A 22,517-nucleotide genomic window follows, 5' to 3' on the forward strand; every position below is an offset into this window, starting at 1 on the left:
TTTCTTTAACAATATGGAGTACATAGACATTTATTTACTTTGAATATTTTAGCACTTAACATGTGTTGAATATATTCCCACATCAAGCAGATTTAGCTCTTTCTTATTAAATGCTGCCCCACACACCACAGTCAAGAGGTTGCACATGTGTTCAAACACTCTCTTCTTGGTAGATAGTCAGACTATTTGGTGTTCCTTCTGCGAACCGCCCTACTGTCATTTAAGTAACAAACTCTGTTGATACAGGAGTGGCCTCTAACTCATTTAGTCTCCTGTGGATCAAAATAAAATCCTGGTCTCCTAAATGGGTGCGGCTGGGAGATCACTTGCTTTTCAGAGAGTAGTTTCCATTTCCTGTACATCAGATGGTCAGCCCTTTAAGCATGCCAATCTGCAAAAAGAAAATATTTCTTTTTACTTTCATGTTTCAGAGATGGGATCTTGCTATGCTGCCCAGATTGATCTTGAACTCCTGGGCTCACGTAATCCTCTTACCTCAGTCTCCCAAAATGCTTGGGGATTACAGGCATGAGCCACCATGCCTGGCTAAAAATGAATTATTCTTATCAACTGCTTAAAAACATGCTTACTAAGCCATATGAACATGGGCAAGCTGCAGTTTCTTCAACTATAAAATGGGAAAATAATAACCCTTACAGAGTTGTGTAATTCATAGTAAAATGAGATGACACATATAATGTGCCTAATATGATGTCAGGAACACAGTAGGCATTTAGTAAAAATGACTACTATTATTATTGTTGTTAAAATTACGGCATTTATACACTAACAAAAGAGGTACGCAGGTTTTAACATAAATGTTCATGCTTTATATGTCCTGACTTCAAATTAACATGTAACTGGCCTCTGGAACATTCACTGCCCTACCTACATTTATTGAATGCCTGCTCTCATAGGTCGGGGGAAGGGGATGGCAAAGAGGAAGCAAACAGGATTGGTTGGCCTTAAATGGATATCGATGATTGAAGATTTAAAAGACATTGAAGACAAAATCCCTACACAGCCATTCAGTGTTTATAACGCACCTTCTGTGAAGCGATGGAAGGAGTTCTGATGTTTAATTCTAGAACTTTTCAGCATCCACAAATAATGCTACTTCCAGCAGAGAAGAGGAAGATTTGCTGCTCTGAGTTAAAGCTAGAGAATCCAAGTGAGCACAAAGGCACTTCAAGGAAAATGCAATTAGAAAAACAGGTGAGTGGGGACTTGGGTTTCCAGAAATGCGTGCTTAGAAATACTGACAGGCTTGGGCTTTTCACCCGAGACGTTTTACATCTTTAAATATGTTTGTAATTTCAGTGGTCTGCACACTCCAGATTTTGTTTTGAAAGGGAAACTTTATAAATCACTGTATTATTATTAGAAATAATTAAACTAAAAACTAAGATGTGGTTGCACACATGTTTACAACGATGTGAAAAATACGGCTGTCAGCACCAGGGCCCAGCTTCCATCACATAACTGTTCGTGCGTTTTAATGGACATTTGAGTGTTACAAATCTGGCCAGGGTGGGAGTCAAAGAGAGGCATAAAATTATATAATAAGAATAAAAATAAAAATAAAAAACAAGAAAGGAACCGGAGGCCGGTGCAGTTGCTCACGCCTATAATCCCGTATAACCCGAGCCCTTTGGGAGGCTGAGGCAGGCAGATCTCTTGAGGTCAGAAGTTCGAGACCAGCCTGATCAAGATGGTGAGATCTCGTCTCTACTAAAAATACAAAAAATTAGCCAAGTGTGGTGGCATGTGCCTGTAATCTCAGCTGCTCGGGAGGCTGAGCCAGGAGAATCCCTTGAACTCAGGAAGCGGAGGCTGCAGTGAGCCGAGATTGCACCACTGCACTCCACCCTGGGCAACAGAGCAAGACTCCATCTCAACAAAAAAAAAAAGAAAAAGAAAAAAGAAAGGAGAAAAAGAAGGAAAGAAGGCCAAAGGGGAAGAAATGAGGAAGGGAGGCAGATAAAAACCTTCCTTCCATTTTCTTATTCTTAGCATTAAAAAAGACTCCAAGTGTTACACTGGAAAGTGTGTTTAAAATACTCGGATTCTAAAAAAGAGCAAAGAACCTAATGTATGTTTTTCAAAATCCTTTGATTCTAAATCCATTCAACTATAAATCTGAGTTATTACTTTGAAAGCTAGCTACATCCTGACTTTCCTAAAGTGATACAAAATATTCAATCCCAGGCCAAGAAAAATCCCAAACCAACCAACAGAAGGCAAGGAAAATTGAATACAGAAGCTTGCAACTTGAATTATTCGGATCCAAGGAAATTAAAACTCTTTCATCCTTTTTCCCCAGTTAATTTTTAAAACATTTTAAATACATTGCCCTAAATATTTGAAAATATAATCTGAAAGTGCTCAAATTCTATTTTATGAGCAGAAAAATATGGATAAATATATCAATTTTATCTAGAATGCTCACAGCCATTTCTTTCAAGGATATTGGAAAATACTGGTAGTGCTGTGTCTACTAAAACACTTCTAAGGCATCAGAGGAAAAGCTTTTTGATATTTTGATTGATTTAACTCTAAAATAAACCATCACCCCAAGATTCTTTTTAAAAATAAAAGATACTCTATGTGAAGAAACAAAAAATCATGCAATTCTTTCAATATATACACAAATACTAAAAAGGAATAAACAGGTTGTGAGTTAATTACAAAAAAGAAAATAAGCTTACATATAAATGACAAACAACCTAGCAGGAGACAACTGTTAAATGGAAACATGACACCCATGGCAAGTCCTTGAATAGCTAACCATATAGACTATACCCGCTTTTGAAAATATCTTCTGATGGGGTAAAATGTATTGCTATATCTAACCCATTATTTAATGTTTTAACATGACCCATCTACATACTTTTTCCTTTGGTACAAAGAAAATCTAAACACATGCATTCTTTTCTCTTTTGTGGATTCAAACCAAAATAACCATGGTCACATGAAGGATGCGTGATCTCCTCTGCCGGGATGTAATATGGACCCGAGGACCTCAGCCCACAGCTCTGCCTCCTCAGGTTCTTTTCAAGGCACCTCCAGGATTCAGTATCTCCACTCCATAGAGGGAAGCAGCATGATTTAGCACAGCAGTTCCCACAAGTGTGGTCCGTGGTCCCTTGCAGGGGTCGACTCTTCCAAGGAAACCCATGAGGTCAAAACAATTTTCATAATACTTTGACAAATAGTAGAGTTTTCCAGGGGTTACATGATGTGTGATACCACCACACACTGAATGCAGAAGCAGAGCTGGGAATCCAGCTGTTTTCTATTAAGCCAGACATAAAAGAGATACGCAAAAATAAAAAAGAATGCCACTCTTCTAACTGGTTTTTGTTTTGGAAGATTTTTGTTTAATTACAATATGTTATTTATGTTAGGATGCAATGGGTTTATAATATTTTAAAACACATGTATTTTAAATTATTTTCTCTATTTTCAGTTCTTGGATGGTAAGTATCAATAAATGTAATTCACATAAACAAAAAGCTCTTTAAGATCCTCAATAATCTTTAAGAGTATAAAGGGGTCACGAGATCAAAAAGTTTGCCAACCAGTGATTTAGCATAACGCCTGACATATAGTAAATGTGTGGCAAATGGACAAACTGATGGATTAAAGGGTTTTAATAACTGCTTTCAAATGTTCAGAGTTCAATAAATGAATATGGCCAGTAAAGATCTTTGGATAACCATCTTCAGGTCCTCCACACCTGCTTACACATGATTTAAAAGCAAATGATGGTAAGAAGACAAAACCGTAGGCTGGGTGTGGAGGCTCACGCCTGTAATCCCAGCACTTTGGGAGGCCGAGGTGGGCAGATCACCTGAGGTCAGGAGTTCGAGACCAGCCTAGTCAACCCAGTGAAACCCGTTTCTACTAAAAAAAAAAACAAAAAAAAAATAGCTGGGTGTGGTGGTGCATGCCTGTAGTCCCAGCTACCGAGGAGGCTGTGGCACGAGAATCACTTGAACCCAGGAGGCAGAGGCTGCAGTGAGCCAAGATCATGCCACTGCACTCGAGCCTGGGCAACAGAGCAAGACTCCATCTCAAAAAAAAAAAAAAAAAAAAAAAAGACAAAACTGTAGAGCAACAATTACTACACTGAAGATACCAGTTAAGTATGACTTAAAGACAAGTAAAGGGAGGATCCAGGTAGGTAGCAGTACAAATACGTTTTCATCATCAATGGCTTCATTTATCCATCCTATCACTACTTATTTCCATTTCAGAGAAATAATATCTTCTACGAATTTGGAGAGGATGTTGTTCTAAAGGGTTGTATGAGATTTAATACAATTAAACTATGCAACATCTTACATGGTTCAGTGCTTATAACCCTACAAGGTTATAGGGTCATTTGTGCGGACCAATTAGTTACCTTGCTGTGTTCTGCGGCCACAGTGTTCACAACTTTCTACCAATTTTCTTCCTGGCAATATCTTATTCATCTTGCAAAATCCAGTTTGGACAACACCTCTTCCAAAAAGCTTTCCCTGAATTCTTCTTTTAAAGAGACAGTTAAAAATTCCTTCCTCTCTTACCTCTGTATGTTGTGCCTATGTCTATGGTAACACATTCTATTGAAATTCTGTATTTTTGCTGTCTTCCTTACTAGACCATGAGCACCTTGAAGGCAGGGCCTGTGGGTTGCCCACTTTTGAGTTCCAGCACCTAGCACACTGCCAAACATGGCAGACACTTTAAAAATCCACACAAAGAAAGGCCAGGCGTGGTGGCTCACACCTGTAATCCCAGAACTTTGGGAGGCCAAAGCAGGTCTCCTGGATCACCTGAGGTCAGGAGTTTGAGACCAGTCTGGCCAATATGGCGAAACCTCTTCTCTACTAAAAATATAAAAATTATCTGGGTGTGGTGGTGTGCACCTATAATCCCAGCTACTCGGGAGGCTGAGGTAGGAGAATCGTTTGAACCTGGGAGGCAGAGCTTGCAGTAAGCCGAGATCATGCCACTGCATTCCAGCCAGGGAGACAGAGCGAGATTCCATCTCAAAAAAAAAAAAAAAAAAAAATCTAGTCAGTCACCTTACAGGCCAATAGGACTAGTATTAGAATTAAGTAAAATGCTAAGGAATACTAAGACAATAGTAACATTCCATATGTTTCCGGCCCAGTCAGAAATCCAGCATGTGTGTCTTAGTGAGTTGGTCTTAACATGTTTGAGAATGAAGGGTAGCCATTCTACCATTAAACAGCCACTAAAGAGAGCCCTTTCCTAAAAACATTATCTCCTGGAAGAACATTGAGCTCTTTTCATCCTTCTGAAACGATGCAAATTGCAAATGGTAAGGCAAGAATTTCAAATGATAAATTAAACCAAGGTAAAAACTCACAAAGCAAAAAGCAGCACTAAAGTGAAAAAGGGTCAATTAGCAGAAAATGACCAGAAAGGGGGAAAATGTGACAATCTGGGATGCTTATGGGACGTCAAAGAGGGTTTGAAATTCATGCTCTGAAATTAATCAGACTTTGTTGCCACCTTTTCAGTGACATGCCCATCAGCAAAGAACAAGCATTGTCATTAGCAGAACAAAGAAAAAAAAGTGTATGCCTAGGATTAGCTTTGGCAAAAAAAAAAAAAAAAAAAAAAGGATAAAGTAGGTCATTTCCATGTTCAGCTTTAAGAATACGGCCATATGGTAAGAATTAAGATGTTGCCCAGAATCTAATATGGGAGAGATGTCTGCATACTCCAAAAGAAGAGAGAAATACCAAACACCAGTAGCACTAGAGTGGAAATCTGAGATTGGGTAACTAAAGGCAATCTAATCTTGTGAAAAGCTACAGAGAGGAAAGGTCTTGAACATAAAGAGCTTGTCCTTTCTTACAGCCATCCACTATAATTGGATGTATACCCTTTTGTGAGACTTTGAAAATAGCAATTTATTTCTCATTCATTAGCCTGATTTCAAAATACCCTTAATGGATGTCTCAATTACAGAGACTCCAAGGTCATATAACACCCAGACACCCTTCATATCTGTTTTCTTTACTGTATTGTAACTCAGTTTTCCTTATTAGAGGTAGAGTTTTAGCCAAGAAGGAAATCTCACCATGGAACTACAGAATGTTACCAGTGAAAGTCTCTCTAGGAATTGACTAATCTAACCTCAGCCACTTTAGGAAAACTGAAGCCCAGAGAACTCAAGTTCCTCGCCTGAGGTCACACAGCTCAGTATCATCAGGAACAGACCAGTCCTCAGGGTTTCCTTCCTCCACTTCAGTGTTGTTGCCATGATAGCAAAACAAAGTAGTGCAGATACTCTTTCAGAAATGTGCGTTTGGAAAAATTGCTAGCCCTGAGCACCATTTCCTCTCTACATAAATAAAAGCAATGCTTTACACCTGCTACCATCACCCTGGGAACATCCATGGTGTGTGAGTTTATTCCCTGGAGCCAACTGCAGGAAGATGGAAGACAGAGCATCGCATGAAGCCACAGTGCTGTTTCCAGTAGGAGAAAGGTTAGAATGAACCATGACAAAGGCTTGAAAAGGAGCTTGTGGTAAGTTTAAGGAGAAGTAGAATATTTCCTAGCCCCAAAGTATCTGTTGGTTACAAAGGGAAACACAGTGACTTTATAGTGGAGATGGCTGGCAGACACCACCTTAACTAGGGAATCAGATCGAGGTTCACATCACCAGAAATGGGACAGCTCGATGGCATGACACAATATACCAATGATATGATATGTTAAGGAGAGCCCTTCACCTCTGTGTGGTGCTCTTCCCCTAAATCCACAGGCTCCCTTTAACCAGGAGAAAATGCCAGAGAACCCAAATTGGGGGGCCTTCTATAACGTTCCTAACCAATGCTCTTCACAGGGATCAAGATCAAGATCATAAACAACAAGGAAAACCAAGGAATCATCACAGGCTGGGGGAGACTAAGTAGACAACACAACTCAATGCAATGTGGAATCCTAGAACAGAGAAAGGACGCTGGCAGAAGAATGAGTCAATCCAATAAGGTCTGTAGGTGGTGGCATTGTGCCAATACTAAGTTTTTAATTGATAACTTGTACCATGGTTACAGAGGTTAACTTTGGGGCAAGCTGGGTGAGGAGTATGCAGGAGTTGCCTGTACTATCTTTACAACTGTTCTGCAAGTCTAAAAGTTATTTCAATTTTTTAAAAAATGTGGCCAGGCATGGTGGCTCACGCTTGTAATCCAGCACTTTGGGAGGGCAAAGTGGGCAGATCACCTGAGGTCAGGCGTTCCAGGCCAGCCTGGCCAACATGGTGAAACCCCATCCCTACTAAAAATACAAAAATTAGCTGGGTGTGGTGGCAAACACCTGTAATCCCACCTACTTGGGAGGCTGAGGCAGGAAAATCGCTTGAACCCGGGAGGGAGAAGTTGCAGTGAGCCTGGATCACACCATTGCACTCTAGCCTGGGCAACAAGAGTGAGACTGTTTCAAAAAAAAAAAAAAAAGGAAAAAAACTGGCTCATGGATGGACAGAGAACAGAGCTGAAGCTTTTCCCTCCTTTCAAACCCTTGTTAGAATCATTCATATATCACTCTTTCTTTCAAAAGCAGTTTGCACTAGTTCTTCTTATCCTCATTTATTCTGATTTTTTGTGTACCCATCTCTTAAAAATGGTAATGTTTTAATGACAAAGACCAGGGAATAATCTTTATCACTGCTAAGAGCACCTTGTCCTGTGTTTTTCCACAAAGCAAATGCTCAATAAACAACTCTGCTACATGAATGAATGGGTTACAATCAATAGTCTCATGTCCTCCTTTCATACCTCTCTTCCCAGCAATTTTGTCAGACAGACACGCCTTGTCTAACCTTTCCCATCCTTGGAATGGGAAGGCAAAGTTTCCTGGCTGCTCCCACACACCTCTGCCCTAACCCAGTGATCCTCTCCTCATCTGTTAATTCAGAGGGCTGAACTGACACAGAGCCATCTCCTATCAAAGCCCAGTTCCCATGTCCACAGAACTCAAAAACACATCTCTGAACAGCTGATGTGAGAATGTACTTGCTTCCCACAGATGAGTTCCACGCATTGCACTGCATTTCACAATTTTGCCCCATCTTCCCATTCCATAAGTTAAAACATAAAATTTGCATTTGCAACCATGTGTCTATCCCTTCACAACACACTCCCCTTACACACTGAACGCTGAGAAGCAATAGCTATTCACATTTCCCTGTGCTCTTTGCCTAGACTGCTCTTCACCTCCTTTTCAGTCCAGAAAAATGGTCAGTTATCTTCCCAAACTTCACGCATTACATCATCTCCTCCAGGAAGCCCTCCCCAGACACCCCTCAATTTCCCCCCTAAGATAAGTCTCTTTCTCCTTAGAATTAAGGAGAGTCTCTCTTTCCTTAGAATTAATCACTTCCTGCTCTGTGGTACCTATGTACCTGGTATGAAATTCTGTTTCGGTAGTTGTAACACTTAATCTTAATCATCTATACACAACCATCTCCTCAACTATCACAGGAGCTCCTTGAGAGAAGTAACTTTGCTTTATTTATTGTATATACTTCGCCCCCTAGGGGAGTACTTGGCATACAGTCAGCCATACAGTAAAGGTTTGCTGAATCAAAGGACTGTTAGGAGACTGTTAGGCTGGGAGTGATGGCTCAAACCTGTAATCCCAGTGCTTTGGAAAGCCAAGGTGGGAGAATTACTTGAGGCCAGATTGTTCAAGACCAGCCTGGGCAACATAGTGAGACCCCTACAAAAAATAAAAATAAAAATTGGCTGGGCATGGTGGCATGTGTCTGTAGTTGTTGCTACTTGGAAGGCTGAGGTAGGAAGATACCTCGAGCTCAGCAGTTCAAGGCTGCACTGAGCTATGATTGTCCCACTGCACTCCAGCCTGGGCAAAGGAGCGAGACCCTGTCTCTCAAAAAAAAAAAAAAAAAAGAAGAAGAAGAAGAAGAAGAAGGACTGTTACTTCTATTCTTTGGCTCCTACCACCCAAGAACTTATCAAGGTGGCAGACACATGGAACATGCAGGCGTTACCTGGAACAAATGAACCCAGACTGCAAAGCTGTTTCGCAGGTCCTTTTGCTTGTTGCAGAGAGCTCATGGTTTGGATGTGTCCCTCTGTAAATGAGGTTTCAGCACACTGATGAAGCATGAAGTGATTATCTGCTGACACTCTGATTTCTCTGAGCCTCTGCAGCAAACTAAATGATATTTAGCCTCCAGACCTGTTGATCCCATCTTTTTTTTTTTCCTATGAGCATTAATGTTCAATAAGAGGACAAGAAATGAATTTAGGCAACCAGACTGGCAGGATCTCTATACGGCTACTCAAGTATAAAGAAAAAGTGAAATCTTCCCAGAATGTTCTCATCAGAAACTCCATCTCTGCCAACTCTGTAATCAGAGTGGTTTTCCTTGATTGCCCCGACATTGGCAAAACCTTAGGATAGCTCCTAAACTTCTGGCCAGCCACACTGCTATCTCACTGGTCCCCCAAACTAGAAATCTTAGATTTGTCAGTCACTGAATTTTCTCTCTTTTGGCTCCCACATTCAAGTGAAAATCTCATGCTATTGATCATGCAACAACTGAAATAACCTAAACTACCACTCTGTTCCATTCTGTGGCAGGACTCAAGTTCCAGCCTTTGATGCCTTAATTCTAGAACATCCCTATCTGCACCTCAGGCCCAGCCTAATCTCATCTCTTCCCCATGGCTCTGAGGGTCTCCTCAGGAGAAGGTCGTCGGCAGTCACACACCCTTCTCTCTGATCTCTTATCACACAGGCACCATGAAATGCCCAGACCGAGACCTGCATTGCTGCCATTATTTTTCCCTGGAATGCCCCACCCTGTTTCTCTACTGGATAAACTCCTATACATCCTTCACCACCCAGCTCTAAAGCCACAGTGGTTAACCTTCACTCTAAGAAAACACATCTGATTATTCAGTACTCAATACTAAAGTTCTCTCTGTGGCTGGCTCCTCCTAAAACGTGAAAAATTAACCACTTATGATTTGTCTGCAAAATACAATCTGTTTGTTGAATTTAACTATTTAACTGCTATCATTTAAGCCTTCATATGCATCTGTCATGTCTTTGATTAGACTACAATTTCTTCCTTGCTCAGCACACTGCAACCTAGGGTCATCTAAAAAGACATGCTGGTTAAGTGACTAAAAAGCAAACATCATCCAGTATCAGCCCCAGGATTATCCCTGTAATTCTAAGACCCTGATGTGCATCAGAACCACCTGAAAAGCTTGTTAAGAATCCAGATGCCCTGGCCAGGCACGGTGGCTCATGCCTGTAATCCCAGCACTTTGGGAGGCCAAGGTGGGCAGATCACTTGAGGTCAGGAGTTCGAGACCAGCCTGGCTAACATGGTGGAACCCTGTCTCTACTAAAAATACAAAAATTAGCCTGGCATGGTGGTCCATGCTTGTAATCCCAGCTACTCAGGATGTTGAGGCAGGAGAATTGCCTGAACCGGGGAGGTGGAGGTTACAGTGAGCCAAGATCATGCCACTGCACTCCAGCCTGGGCAATGATGTGAGACCCTGACTCAAAAAAAAAAAAAAAAAAAAAAAAAAAGGGAAAAAGAAAAAGAATCCAGATGTCATGGCACTGTCCCCTGGGAGGGTCTACCAAAATCTGCATTTTCCAAGAAGCCCCCACTCCTCCCAGTTAACTGTGCTGCTCCTCAAACATGAAAACTACTCCTTCCTACTGTGGGTTTGGTGAGCTCCAGTGCCCTGCTTGCCCTTCGGGCTCACTCTGTCTGGAGTCAGAGGTCAGAGGTAAAATCAGGAGGAGTCACTAAAGAAGAAAAAGTTCAGAGCCCTCTGTGCTGGCTTCTCTTGGGAAATGGCTCCCAATCTTGGAGGCAGCTGAGAGGTGATTGTATCTGGAGAGCACACGGACTACTTATCTGCTCTCTCTGAAATGCCAGTGAGTTTGAAAGGCACTTTGTCCAATTAGAAGTGTGGAGAAATATTCATCCTGTCCATGACAAAGATGAAGTGCTTCTTTCAAAAGCGGCGGTGGCAGGCTGCCAGGTTTAAGAAGTCCAACTATTCCACATCGAGCCAGCAGTTATTAATTAGTTTTATTAGTGGCAGGTCCTTAATGCAAAATGACAGAGGGAGACAGAGAATATCCCCGTTACTACTAAAATACAAATTGTCCAGATTTAGGTTGTGTTGTTCCCCAACATGTACAGGCGGCCCGCCAGGCCCAAGTGGGGAACGGAGAAGGCAGCCAGATGCCTTTCTGCAGAGTTCCGGACTATTAATGGCATGACAAAGAGACTCGGATCCTTACCTCAGGTAGCTCTCGAGAGGAAAATCCACCAATTTTAATTATCAAGGAGGAAGAGCCTCCAGGGGGAGGATAGGGAGATCTGAGGGAAAAACCAAGAGGAGGAGGAGGGGTGGCGGTAGGGATGGGAAGTGGGCCCGTGTTATTCACGCTGTTCAACACGGCCTCTGCATAACAGCCTCTTCCACAGGGAACAGCGCAGGGCTACTTTGCTGAGAATTAGTCTTACACTGTCAACCAGTTTTTTATGACCATTAATCACATTTGTATTTATAAGCGTTAAGACAGGAAAATCAAATCTCATGCTTCAAAGCATATGTTTATCACCACAGGCATAAAAGGGAAAGAAAAAGTTGACAAGCCCGCACTGTTGGCAAGAGCTGCTGCGTGTCTGGTGGCTTCCCCAGAAGCACCCTGGGGGCTCTGAAGAACGTTTTGTAAGGGAGAAGACAGAACTGCCCAGTGCCTCACTTTGTTAATGTTTCTCCTTCTTTCTGCACCAGAAATTCCTAAGGCAGAAATTTAAAGAAGTTCCCCAACATCCTCTCCCTCAACCCTCCCCTAACACACCCCTGAACTCCCTGCCTCAGACCTGCCAGGCCTTCTTCCTCTGCCCCACAAGACAGAAGATCCCGACAGGCTTTGAGTGATGTTGCTCTCACCACAGCTTTTCTTTTAGCAGCTGGCATATTCCCTGTCGTTCCCCCGAAATACCCAATGACCCAACCCCAAGCTGTCTGGGCTTCAAAGAGGTTTCCCCACCCGACACACCTCAGGGCCACCTTCCTCTAGATGGGAGTGGGGATAGGGAAACTCTGCAAAAGGTCAGAAAGTGAATCGTCTTTGCGGGCCAAAAGGTCTCTGTGGCAACTACTCAACTCTGCCATTGTGGCCCCAAAGCAGACCCAGGCAATGTGTCAACAAGTAGGTGTGGCTGTGTTCGAATAAAACTTTATTTACAAAACCAGGCTGTGGGTGGGCCGGGTTTGACCCACCAACGGGGCCTAGTTTGCTGACCCTTATTCTGGGGCAGCAGTGCCCAATCTAAGAACCCAGGTACCAGTGAGTTCTGCAAAACTGGAGGGAATATTTTAAAAATTCTAATGGAAAACGTGCAACTGTCTTCATCACAACAGCACAGGCTAACCCGGATCTCTTGGCTGGAACCATATGGGCCACCTGTTTTAAGAGCACCTACCTCACATTGTCTGAGTAACAACTAGGAAATAATCATTAATGATTTAAAAATAATAATTTAAATAAATAATTAAAAAATCAAAATACAGCTGGATGATCAAAGTCTTTCAAAACATGGGTCCACAATGGAGAGAGGGCAGGTGATAAAAGTGGCCCCACTGGTCCTCTTCTTCCTTTGATAGCAAAGAGGGGTCTCAAAAACGTCTAACGTCACATGTTTCCTAAGAGATTCCCTCAAGGAGCTCAACACACTTTTAATGAAGTAGAACATCATCTCCTAACCTACGAGTGACCAAGGTCAGGGTGAAAAAGCCTTACCCCCACTTTCAATATTAAGAACTAATATTGCAAGTACTCACCGAGGAAGAAAAAATTGTGTAAGCTCATCAGAACCAAGGGCATTACCAACCCACTCTCAGATTTTCTAGAACAGTATGAAAAAATACACAGCACTGGGGAAAGAAAATAAGAGCAAGGGGGATGCAAGAGCAAGGAGCCCCTGCTTCTCTTGCTGAGTTGCCAGGTAAGAAACAGCAACCCACGAGCCTAAAAGCCATGTCTTCTTCATCTTTGACCCCTTAGTGTTTAACACAGTCCTTAAATGTCCCTTGAATAAACGCATTTTTACATTCATGATAGACATTATAAAAGATTTAAAAATGAACATGAGATGATCTTTGCCTTCTTAAGGTTAATGGTAAAATAATGGAGAACGACAAAGGAGAAAGACATAAATAACATCCAGTGCCTGTATCCACGCACTCTATTTGCTGGCTCCCACTCGGCAGCTATGGGCTCTTGTTTTTGAGAGGATCTTCTCCAGCCTGTCTATCTGGTTTCCCACCTCCTAGCTGCTCTGCAGTAGATGATTCAAAGGATGGCTGGAGAAGGAGCCCTGTGGGGCCAGCACAATGTCAATATCCCAGCAAGAAGGAGGGCTGCAGCCTCCACAGGGCCCCAGGTGCTGAAGACAGAACAGATATCTGGCCAGGTGTGGTGGCTCACACCTGTAATCCCAAAATTTTGGGAGGCCGAGGTAGGCAGATCACGAGGTCAGGAGATCAAGACCATCCTGGCTAACACGGTGAAACCCCATCTCTACTAAAAATACAAAAAATTAGCCAGGAATGGTGGCGGGCACCTGTTGTCCCAGCTGCTCAGGAGGCTGAGGCAGGAGAATGGCATGAACCCAGGAGGCGGAGCTTGCAGTGAGCCGAGATTGCACCACCGCACTCCAGCCTGGGTGACAGAGCGAGACTCTGTCTCAAAAAAAAAAAAAAAAAAAAAAAAAACCACAGATATCCATCATTATTCCAGCATTATTTATCATGGAAAAAAAACAATACCAAACTGCAAACAACCTACATGTTTGTCAATAGGGATGAATAAATTAATACATGTCTACACCAGGTGAAATTTTGCAATTTTTAATAAAAAGAATAAATGAGATTTATATCTATTGGCCTGAAGTGAAGCTCATTATATCTTTTAAAGTTTATCTGTTCCTCAAACTCCAAAAGCCTGGTGAGGCTAATTCTCATGCTTATCAATAAAAATTACTTTTCTCCGTCAATTAGTATTTGGTCCAGAAAAAAAAAAAATCAGTGTGTCTTGCTGTAAGAACATCAGTGTGCTCAGAGCTAAAATTAGGAAACACACACAAAAATAAAACCTGACTTTACAAGGGGCATTTTCCTATTAACAAAAGGGACACCAATAAGTTCTATAAAATTGATTGTTTTACACGGTGCATGGAAAGCATGATGTTGCATAGAAACTAAAGTGATATATGTCCTGCATAAAGTGAGGCCTACCTTTAAATATCAGAAGATGCTTTCCTAAAAAATAAAATCATGAGATAGATTACATAAAGAGTTCAAAGGACGCTGGGCATGGTGGGTGGCTCAGGCCAATAACTCCAGCACTTTGGGAGGGCAAGGTGGGCAAATCGCTTGAGCCCAGGAGTTTGAGACCAGCCTGGGCAACATTGCGAAACCCCATCTCTACAAAAAATACAATGGGAGTCTAAGGGAGGCTATGGGAGGCTAAGGGAGGCTCAGGTAAGGAGGATCTCTTGAGCCTGGGAGGCAGAAGCTGCAGTGAGCCAAAATGGCACCACTGCACTCCAGCCTGAGTAACAGAGTAAGACTCTGTCTCAAAAAAAGAAAAGAAAAGAAAAAAAGAATTCAAAGGAGAACTGACATATCACCCAGTGGGTATATTACAGAATGCTTGCATGTATGTGTGTGTGTGTATGGTTTTATATATATTTATATAAAGTATAAATGCTTTTGCTTATATATATGAATCTCATTTTCCCACTGGCTTTCCTTAAAAACTAAACAAAACACAAACACCTTACTGATCGTTAGTAGCTCGTAAGCTGATTTTTAGCCTTTCAGCTGAGAGGAAATGGTCCAAAAAAAAAAATACTAAATGCATCAGGGAGATTTTTCATACATTCACATTTCCATGTGGGAAGCAGCATTATATAGTGGAAACAACATAGTCTTTAAAACAGAAGAGATTTGTATTGAAAGGCTGGCTCCACCGTTACGGATTTGGGCAAAGCTCTGAACCTCTGTTTCCTCATCTAAAGATAGGAATAGCTGCACTTTCCTTGCACCATCATCATGCGGAATGGAAACACTACACATGAAGCCTCTGGTACAACTCTTGGCAGAGTACACACTCAGGAATTGTCATCTGTATTATTATTTCACAAGCTGACATTTTTTAAAGGAAAGCACACCTAGGCTGCCATCTCCTTGTAGCAAAAAAAAAAAAAAAAGAAAGAAATCAGTTCTGATCAAGGGCACATCTAATAGTTGAGAGTGAAATGTGAAATGGGAAGATGACACCACCACACAACCAGCCCCTTCCTCATTCATTTAGATGTGTCCCAGGACACCACAAGGCTGGCTATTGTACTTCTTAGGCTGTGTCAAAACCATTTTAGTCAAGCCCAGTGCTTTGCAGATAAACACATTGCCAACCTTTAAAATATTCATCTTCCCCTCTATCGTTCCTTCCAATGGAATTGAGACACTGACTGCTTATTGGTTCTCCCTTCCCAAACAATAAGAACAGTAAAGTGGTACTCATGCAGACGCAGCACACATAGTAATCCAAGGACAACTCTGTCCATCAAGGAAGCTTCAGCAAGACCCAAGGTACCAATGGGCTCATTTATGATTCTGTGTCCTCACATTCTGTAGTCTCGCATCTGTTCTGAAAATCTGATGGTTTATAAAATAACAGGAATATTTAAAAATTAGGTCTGTAGAGTGGGATAGGTCTGAATGTCAAATACTATTGCCATTCAAGCTTCGCTTCTCTAAGAAAAGCCTGCCTAGAATGAAGATACAACTGCTGTCCAGGCTTAATCTAAACCTTGCTTAATGGTGCACAAGGTACTTGGGTTGACAGAGCTACGTGTAGATTTTAGGCGGTAGCTCTCCATAGAGCATGTTGCATGCAAACAGAGGTCGTGTCAGCACATGTCACCCTTAACCAACACGGTGCTATTTAAGTAAGTGCCAACCTGCAGTTTCAGCAATTGTGATTTATTGAGAAGGGTGGTGTGAATAATGCGGAGGACTTGACCATTGGCCTTTAATTCCTCTCATTTAGACAGGCTGCTCTTCGCTATAAAATAGTCATTCTGTAAATTAATGTGTTTTATTTTAAAAGTGACATGTTGTACTGGCTTATGCCTAAAGGCAAATTACTCTGGATTGCCAGTTTCCTAACCAGGCTACAAGGGATCCAGCATACTCTACCCAGAGTAGAGGAAAAATCTATACAATCAGTAAAAGATGACAATATCTACCATCCGCACCCAAGACCCAGGTACCCCATTCACCAACAATGACATACCTGCTACAAAATAAGGGGTACAGTGCTCAGTAACTGAGGACCTCTCTGCAGCTCAGCACTGGGCTCTGCCTCATCTACCAGGAAGCACCCCAAAGACAGTGTCTGCCACAATTCACTGTGGTCTACACTGCCCTGAGACCCAAAGCCAGTCAGGCAGTGAGTGAGTCTATTGCTTTCCCTTGGTTAGCAATGAATAATGATTTATGGAATAGATTATAATGCACACTGCTACCAGTACACATCCCAACCTACCATGCTCCTCACTGAGTATGTGATTTGTTTCCTAGAGACTTGAGTTCACCTCCCAGCTCTGAGACTCTGGTTGTCAGAGAGTTCCAGTGAGACCCTTAACATCTCAGTCTACATTTTCTAATCTGTGAAACGGAGCTAACACTTGCCTTACAGGGCTGTTGTGAGGTCAAACAGACAAGGTACCTATGGCAGTGATTGGTCAACAGAACAGTGTTTGCACATACTAGTTGTTGCTATTCCTATTATCTTATAACTCCTTGGCACGAAACCTTCAACGACTCTCTGTTATCAAGTGAATAACAATGAAACTCTAGCCCAACAATCAACGCCCTCACCAGCCCCTATTCTCTCTCCTATATCTTTCAAACTCCCAATAGGAACCATCTATTCCAAATATACGTCATTTTACTTATCCCCGAACACATGATGCCAATTCCTACCCCTCACACTTTGTTTCTACCATCCTGAAATACTTGTACTTCTGTCTTCAGCAAAGCTTAGCCTATCTAAATTCTATACTTTCATAAAACAATAATATATTTTTAGAATCTATATGTGTTCCACAAGAATAGGCACAAGACCCAGTCCTACCACTGGGTGTACTACATCCCAGCCCTGCACAAAGTTATACTGCTGCAGGGTGGAGAAGGAGGTGTCACATGAACCAGCCTAAGCTAGTGAGTATTTTTTTAAGGATTCATTATAGAAAAAGTTAGACTTTTTCCCTTAGGTCTCTTGCTGTAGAGGAACTGCCTGTGAATAGAGAAAAGCCAACACAGGAACACTTTGACTCCCTGGATCCAGCCCTTCCTGAAGTTTGATCTCCTCCTTAAACTTTCTAGTTATATGAGCCCATTAATTCTCATCTTTACTTAAGATAGTTTGAGTCTGTTTTTCTCATTTGAACTCAAAAGAGCTATGACCAATACCAATAATAATAATAGCAGCTCCATTTGCTTATGAAGAAACATCATGTTAATTGCTTTACATATGCAATATCCTAACAATTCTGTAATTTTACAGTTGTGGAAATTGAGACCCAGAGAGGCTCAATCATTTTCTCAAGGTCACACGAATAGTGACAGTGTCAAGTGTCACCAGTCCCAGCTTAATGCATTTCCACCATATGCCACCTTGAGACACTAACCTTAGCGGATGGCTCCAGGGGCACGTAGGAAGGGTTGTTGCTCTTAACGCGGCCCCTTTTTCAAGAATTGCTGTAGTTGGAAGCAGCTCCACAGTAATTTCCTATAGCCCTGGGGAGTATGCTTTTACCAATGGCACCTCTAGATGCCCTTCACTCTCTCTTGCAGCAGGGCCAAGACTGATAACGAATGGCCCGTGGGAAGCGCACGAAGTCCAACGTGAATCAACGATAGCACTAATGAAATTGCTTCAAGTTCTAGAGCAGAAGGTAAACTGAATGCCTTTCAGAGACATTTGAACTTGTGCCCTTCCAAGTTCCCAGAGAAGAAAGAAAATGCACATGGGGTGCAAGCCAAGAGTAGGAACAAGCCATCACATATTTCTTATTTTTACTTAAAATCTGTAACACAGGCCGGGCGCGGTGGCTCATGCCTGTAATCCCAGCACTTTGGGAGGCAGAGGCAGGAGGATCATGAGGTCAGGAGTTTGAGACGAGCCTGGCCAACTTGTTGAAACCCTGTCTCTACTAAAAATACAAAAAAATTAGCCGGGCGTAGTGGTGGTGCATGCCTGTAATCCCAGCTACTCGGGAGGCTGAGGCAGGAGAATCGCTTGAACCCGGGAGGTCGAGGTTGCAGTGAGCTAAGACTGTGCCACTGCACTCCAGCCTAGGAGGAAAAAAAAAAAAAGCTGTAACACTTCCTCACTTCGACCATATTGGTGGAGAAGGCAGTATTCCACATACATCATTCCATAGACAATGGCCATTTGTCTATTTTTTCACGGTTCATATTTTTGAATGCAACATTGTACATTTCAGCGTGGCAGTAAAAGGGCTTCCTGAACCTTATTTCATCATGGCCTAAGGCTTGGAGGTTATTAGGTGGTATAGAGGATTTCTAAAACACAGGTAGAGCCACACGGCCTGGGTTTGTATTCCAGTCATATAATTTTCCAATCGTGTGACCTTGGGCAAGTTAATTAACCTTTCTAAGCTGGCGTTTTCACCTTGTAATATAGAGATAATTGCAGTACCATTCTCATTGAAGTGCTGTGAGAATTAAGTCAATGCAAGTAAAATGATTAATATAGCACCAGAACAAAAAAAAAAGCCCTTTAGTTGCTGTTGTTGTTAATAATAATAATATTGTTAATGTTGTTATTTCAACATCACCAATTATGATTTTTTTGTGACACAGTGATGTCTTTAGGATCTAAAGAGGTATACAGGTGGATTTACCTTATCCCAAAATAGCCCCGGTCTTTTTAAAAAATGCATTCTGTAGTTCTTCTGACTCTGTAAGATTTTAGGTTGTCAGCTGTTACTGCTGTCAGGATGGATGTTACTTACATTCAGCTTCCAATATATAATACAGTGCAGCCAAGCTCGTGAAAGTTATGCATTAAACAAGATTCATACCATTAAGGGTTGCAGTAACTCTCTCAGCCACTAGAGGTCTACTCCACATTCATGGGTTCGCTCTTCCCAGAGGTCTGCAGGTCTAGCCAGAGCTCCATGCTTCAACAAACCAAACCACACTAGATACGGCAAGGATTTCCTTAACCTGGCATTCACAGTTCTCCACAGAGGGGTTCCGATCTACAGTTCTAATCAATCCCACTATGTATTACACACAAACCATGACTCCCAGAACAAATGCATATTCTCATTGTTTTCCACATGGACCTCAGCCTCTTCATCTCTGTGCTTTGACCCTACTATTGACCCCATTGATAAGCAGTTGCCGGCCTTCTCCACACACAACCCCCAGCAGTCTTTCCACCTGTCCAAATTTTCATCCTTCCAAAACTGGTCAGATCCACATTTATAAGAAGCTTACCTAGTGATCTATCTTCTCCTTTGAACTCACTGAATTTTAGGTCTATACCACTCACTAGTCAATGAGTCACAGCCTATTTGTGACATTTCTCGTATTACTCTGTGCCTTTATTTAACTCAGGGCCTACTGACACTTTGCCTCTTCATCTAGATGGTAAGCTCCTGAGGCCACATCCCACGAGTGTCAAAAGGGACGAAATGTCTGACCACTTACTGAGCACCTAATATGTACGTGAAAAGCACAATGTTGGTCATTTTATAATCTTGATCAATAAGCCTACTTGACAGATATGTCTATTCCTTTTGCAGAAATTGAGCCTTAAAGAGACAAAATGACTTGGCCCCTAAGGCCTCACTGCTATTTTAGTAGCAAAACCCACAATTGCTTTTGCACCAACCTAATAGTAAACCAAGGGTCACAATTCAAATCCAGATCTGACCCCAAAAGTTACGTAATTTTGCCCCATTATATCACATCTATCCAATATTGCAGGCAGTAACTACTCAATAAATATTTAGGGGTAACTTGAAGAGCTGGGTAGCAGCTTATGCTGAATAGCTGCAATATCAGACTATCATCAACCAGTAGCTTGCATCACCAATCCTCAGACCCCCTGAGTCCGTGTGACAACTTAGCAGCTCAGCAGTTTACCTGATAAGCCAGGACTATTTAGGGATGGAAAAGCCTCCTTCTCCAGCATTCCAGCAGTTCTGAAGGTCCTGTGCCTGGCCTCACAAGCCCATTACAGGTTGCAAAGATCTAATGATCTTCTCAGAAGGAAACTGAGGAGACAGGAGGCACTGAGAAGCTGCACAAGCAGCACTTGCGTGATTCTCAGAGAGTACATGAGGCTAACGCACACGCTTTCCCTGCTAGCAGCTTTGTAATTCCAGTAGCACTACGACTCAGTTAGCCATAATATTATGAAATATGTCTCAAACAACTGGATTTCATTTCAAACAGCATAAATTAACAAATTGCACATGTGCACAGAGCATCTGCTTACCTAATAATTAAGATATTTAAAAAGTCACCTAATGGCACCAAAGTCAGAATAATGGAATAATTGTTACAGTGTTTTAAAAAAATTTTAAGACACATAATCCAGTCACCCGTGCAGCGCATCAAACGGAGGGCTGCTTTTTCCTGATCTCTTTGAGCACCGTGTTTGGATTAGCATGATGTGAAAAGCAGCAACTGCTGTTATGTAACTAAACCCTGCATATACAGTTGTCAGTCTGGGTAAATTTAACTCTGCAGGTTTAAGGCAGAGCTTGCTTGCCAGAGCAGAACTTAGGAAACAACAAAAATTTAAAGACATATTGCCCCAGGGACCACAGGGGAAAGCCGATGAGGGAGCTGTTCAGGCAGCAAGGTGCAGAAGGCCAGCGTTACTTCCCGGTGCCACACCCGGGCCTTAGCCCCCTGTAATAGCTGGTTTGAAAACAATGACTACTGACAAGAGCATGGTTGTTCAATTACAAAGCTGTCTGCATTTTCCCTCTCCCTACATGGCAATAAAGGCACTTAGGGGGCCTAATGTAGTTTGGAAAGAAAGGCACTGAAACCCAGAATCAGGGGGAGACTTTAATAACAGGTTGCCTTACAGGGAGAACAAAGTGGATCCCGTCTCCAGGCAAGGGCTCCCCCGTTCCCATGGTGTGGAGAAGCCTGCCAAGAGCCGAACCGCGGCCTGAGTTCTAAGCACCGCCGGTCATGTGGCTCACGAGGAGCCCATCCATCTTCCTGCACCTCAGGTTTGCCAGATGGAAAATAAGGGATGAGGGTTAACTCTCTGGTGGTCCCTTCCAAATCTCTCATTTCTCCCTCTGGTTTCATTGGCAGATCTATATTCACTACAGACAAGGAATAACTCTGTAGGTAACCTCTCATTCTAAACCGGGCTCCGTCAGGTGAGGCTGAGAGAAGGACATTCACTGGGAACCGTCAAGATGTCAAAAAATATCAATCCCATGGGCCATGTTTCCAATCCTCCTACCTCCTACCCAGACGAACTCATTACGAAACAGGTTTGTCCTGGATCCCATCCAAAAAGACCTGGTGAAGTCAAGCACAACGAGGAGGTTCCCACTTCTCAGGTGTCTCTCCATGCACATCTCAATGCCTTAGGGAGAGGGTATAACCAGGGAAGAGCCCACCACCACACGCTGAAGGGAAGATCCCTCCCAGGGGGTTCAAGGGAGGCTGGAGAGTGGTACTGCTTTGGCTGCTGCTTGTTTTGTGTGGTATCAGGGACATATTCCACAAGGATGTGAGTAGACTCGAAGAGATGCTCAAATGACTCAGAGCATTTGAAAGATTTTCCACTCTGTTTTATAAACGCAACAGGGCCAGACTAGAGGAAGCAAGTGAGACGCTCATCTCAGGCGCAGGATTTAAGGGGATCCCAAACAACTCAGCCATCTAGATAAATAACATTTTAGTGCAAATTTAAAAAAATTGATATGGATGCAAACAATCCATGATGAGCAAAATACCAAAATGTTAAATAAAGAGAGCAGCAGTCTAGGTATAAGCAGACAGCCAGGTTCTTTTAAAAGAGTGGGTCTGGCTCGTGTAAAATAAACCATTGTAACATCTTCCAATCCCACTTTAAATTTAGATCTAGGAAGATAACCTAGATCTAGGAGACTTGAGTGCTGATGATTTACCCACATTCTCATCTTTGTCATATCCACATCTGCATTTGCTAAACATTCTCATCATGGATGTTCGGGAATGAGCAATACCAGCCGCAGAATTGTACTAGGAGGATATGCCAACAAAAGGTACGCAGCTTCCATCCTTTGAAACTAGACTGAACAGAAATTTTCAAGGACGACTGTAGGAAAATTCATGTCCTGGAAAGAAGTA

At 42.3% G+C, this 22,517-nt stretch overlaps 1 protein-coding gene and 1 long non-coding RNA gene across 4 annotated transcripts in view; both read right to left on the reverse strand.

Annotated features, from left to right (window-relative positions):
* The window catches only part of RORA (RAR related orphan receptor A), a 741,019-nt gene that overhangs the window by 687,782 nt on the left and 30,720 nt on the right, over positions 1-22,517 (reverse strand). The window lies entirely within an intron of this gene.
* LOC105370841 (uncharacterized) overlaps positions 1-22,517 on the reverse strand; it is a 47,242-nt gene continuing 24,725 nt past the window's right edge. For both annotated transcript variants that reach the window (XR_001751772.2, XR_007064661.1), the window contains one exon: positions 1-22,517. This exon is cut by the window's right edge. This is a non-coding gene — a long non-coding RNA (uncharacterized LOC105370841).

Source organism: Homo sapiens, chromosome 15 (genome assembly GCF_000001405.40).
Source record: "Homo sapiens chromosome 15, GRCh38.p14 Primary Assembly".
Classification (NCBI taxonomy): Eukaryota; Metazoa; Chordata; class Mammalia; order Primates; family Hominidae; genus Homo; species Homo sapiens.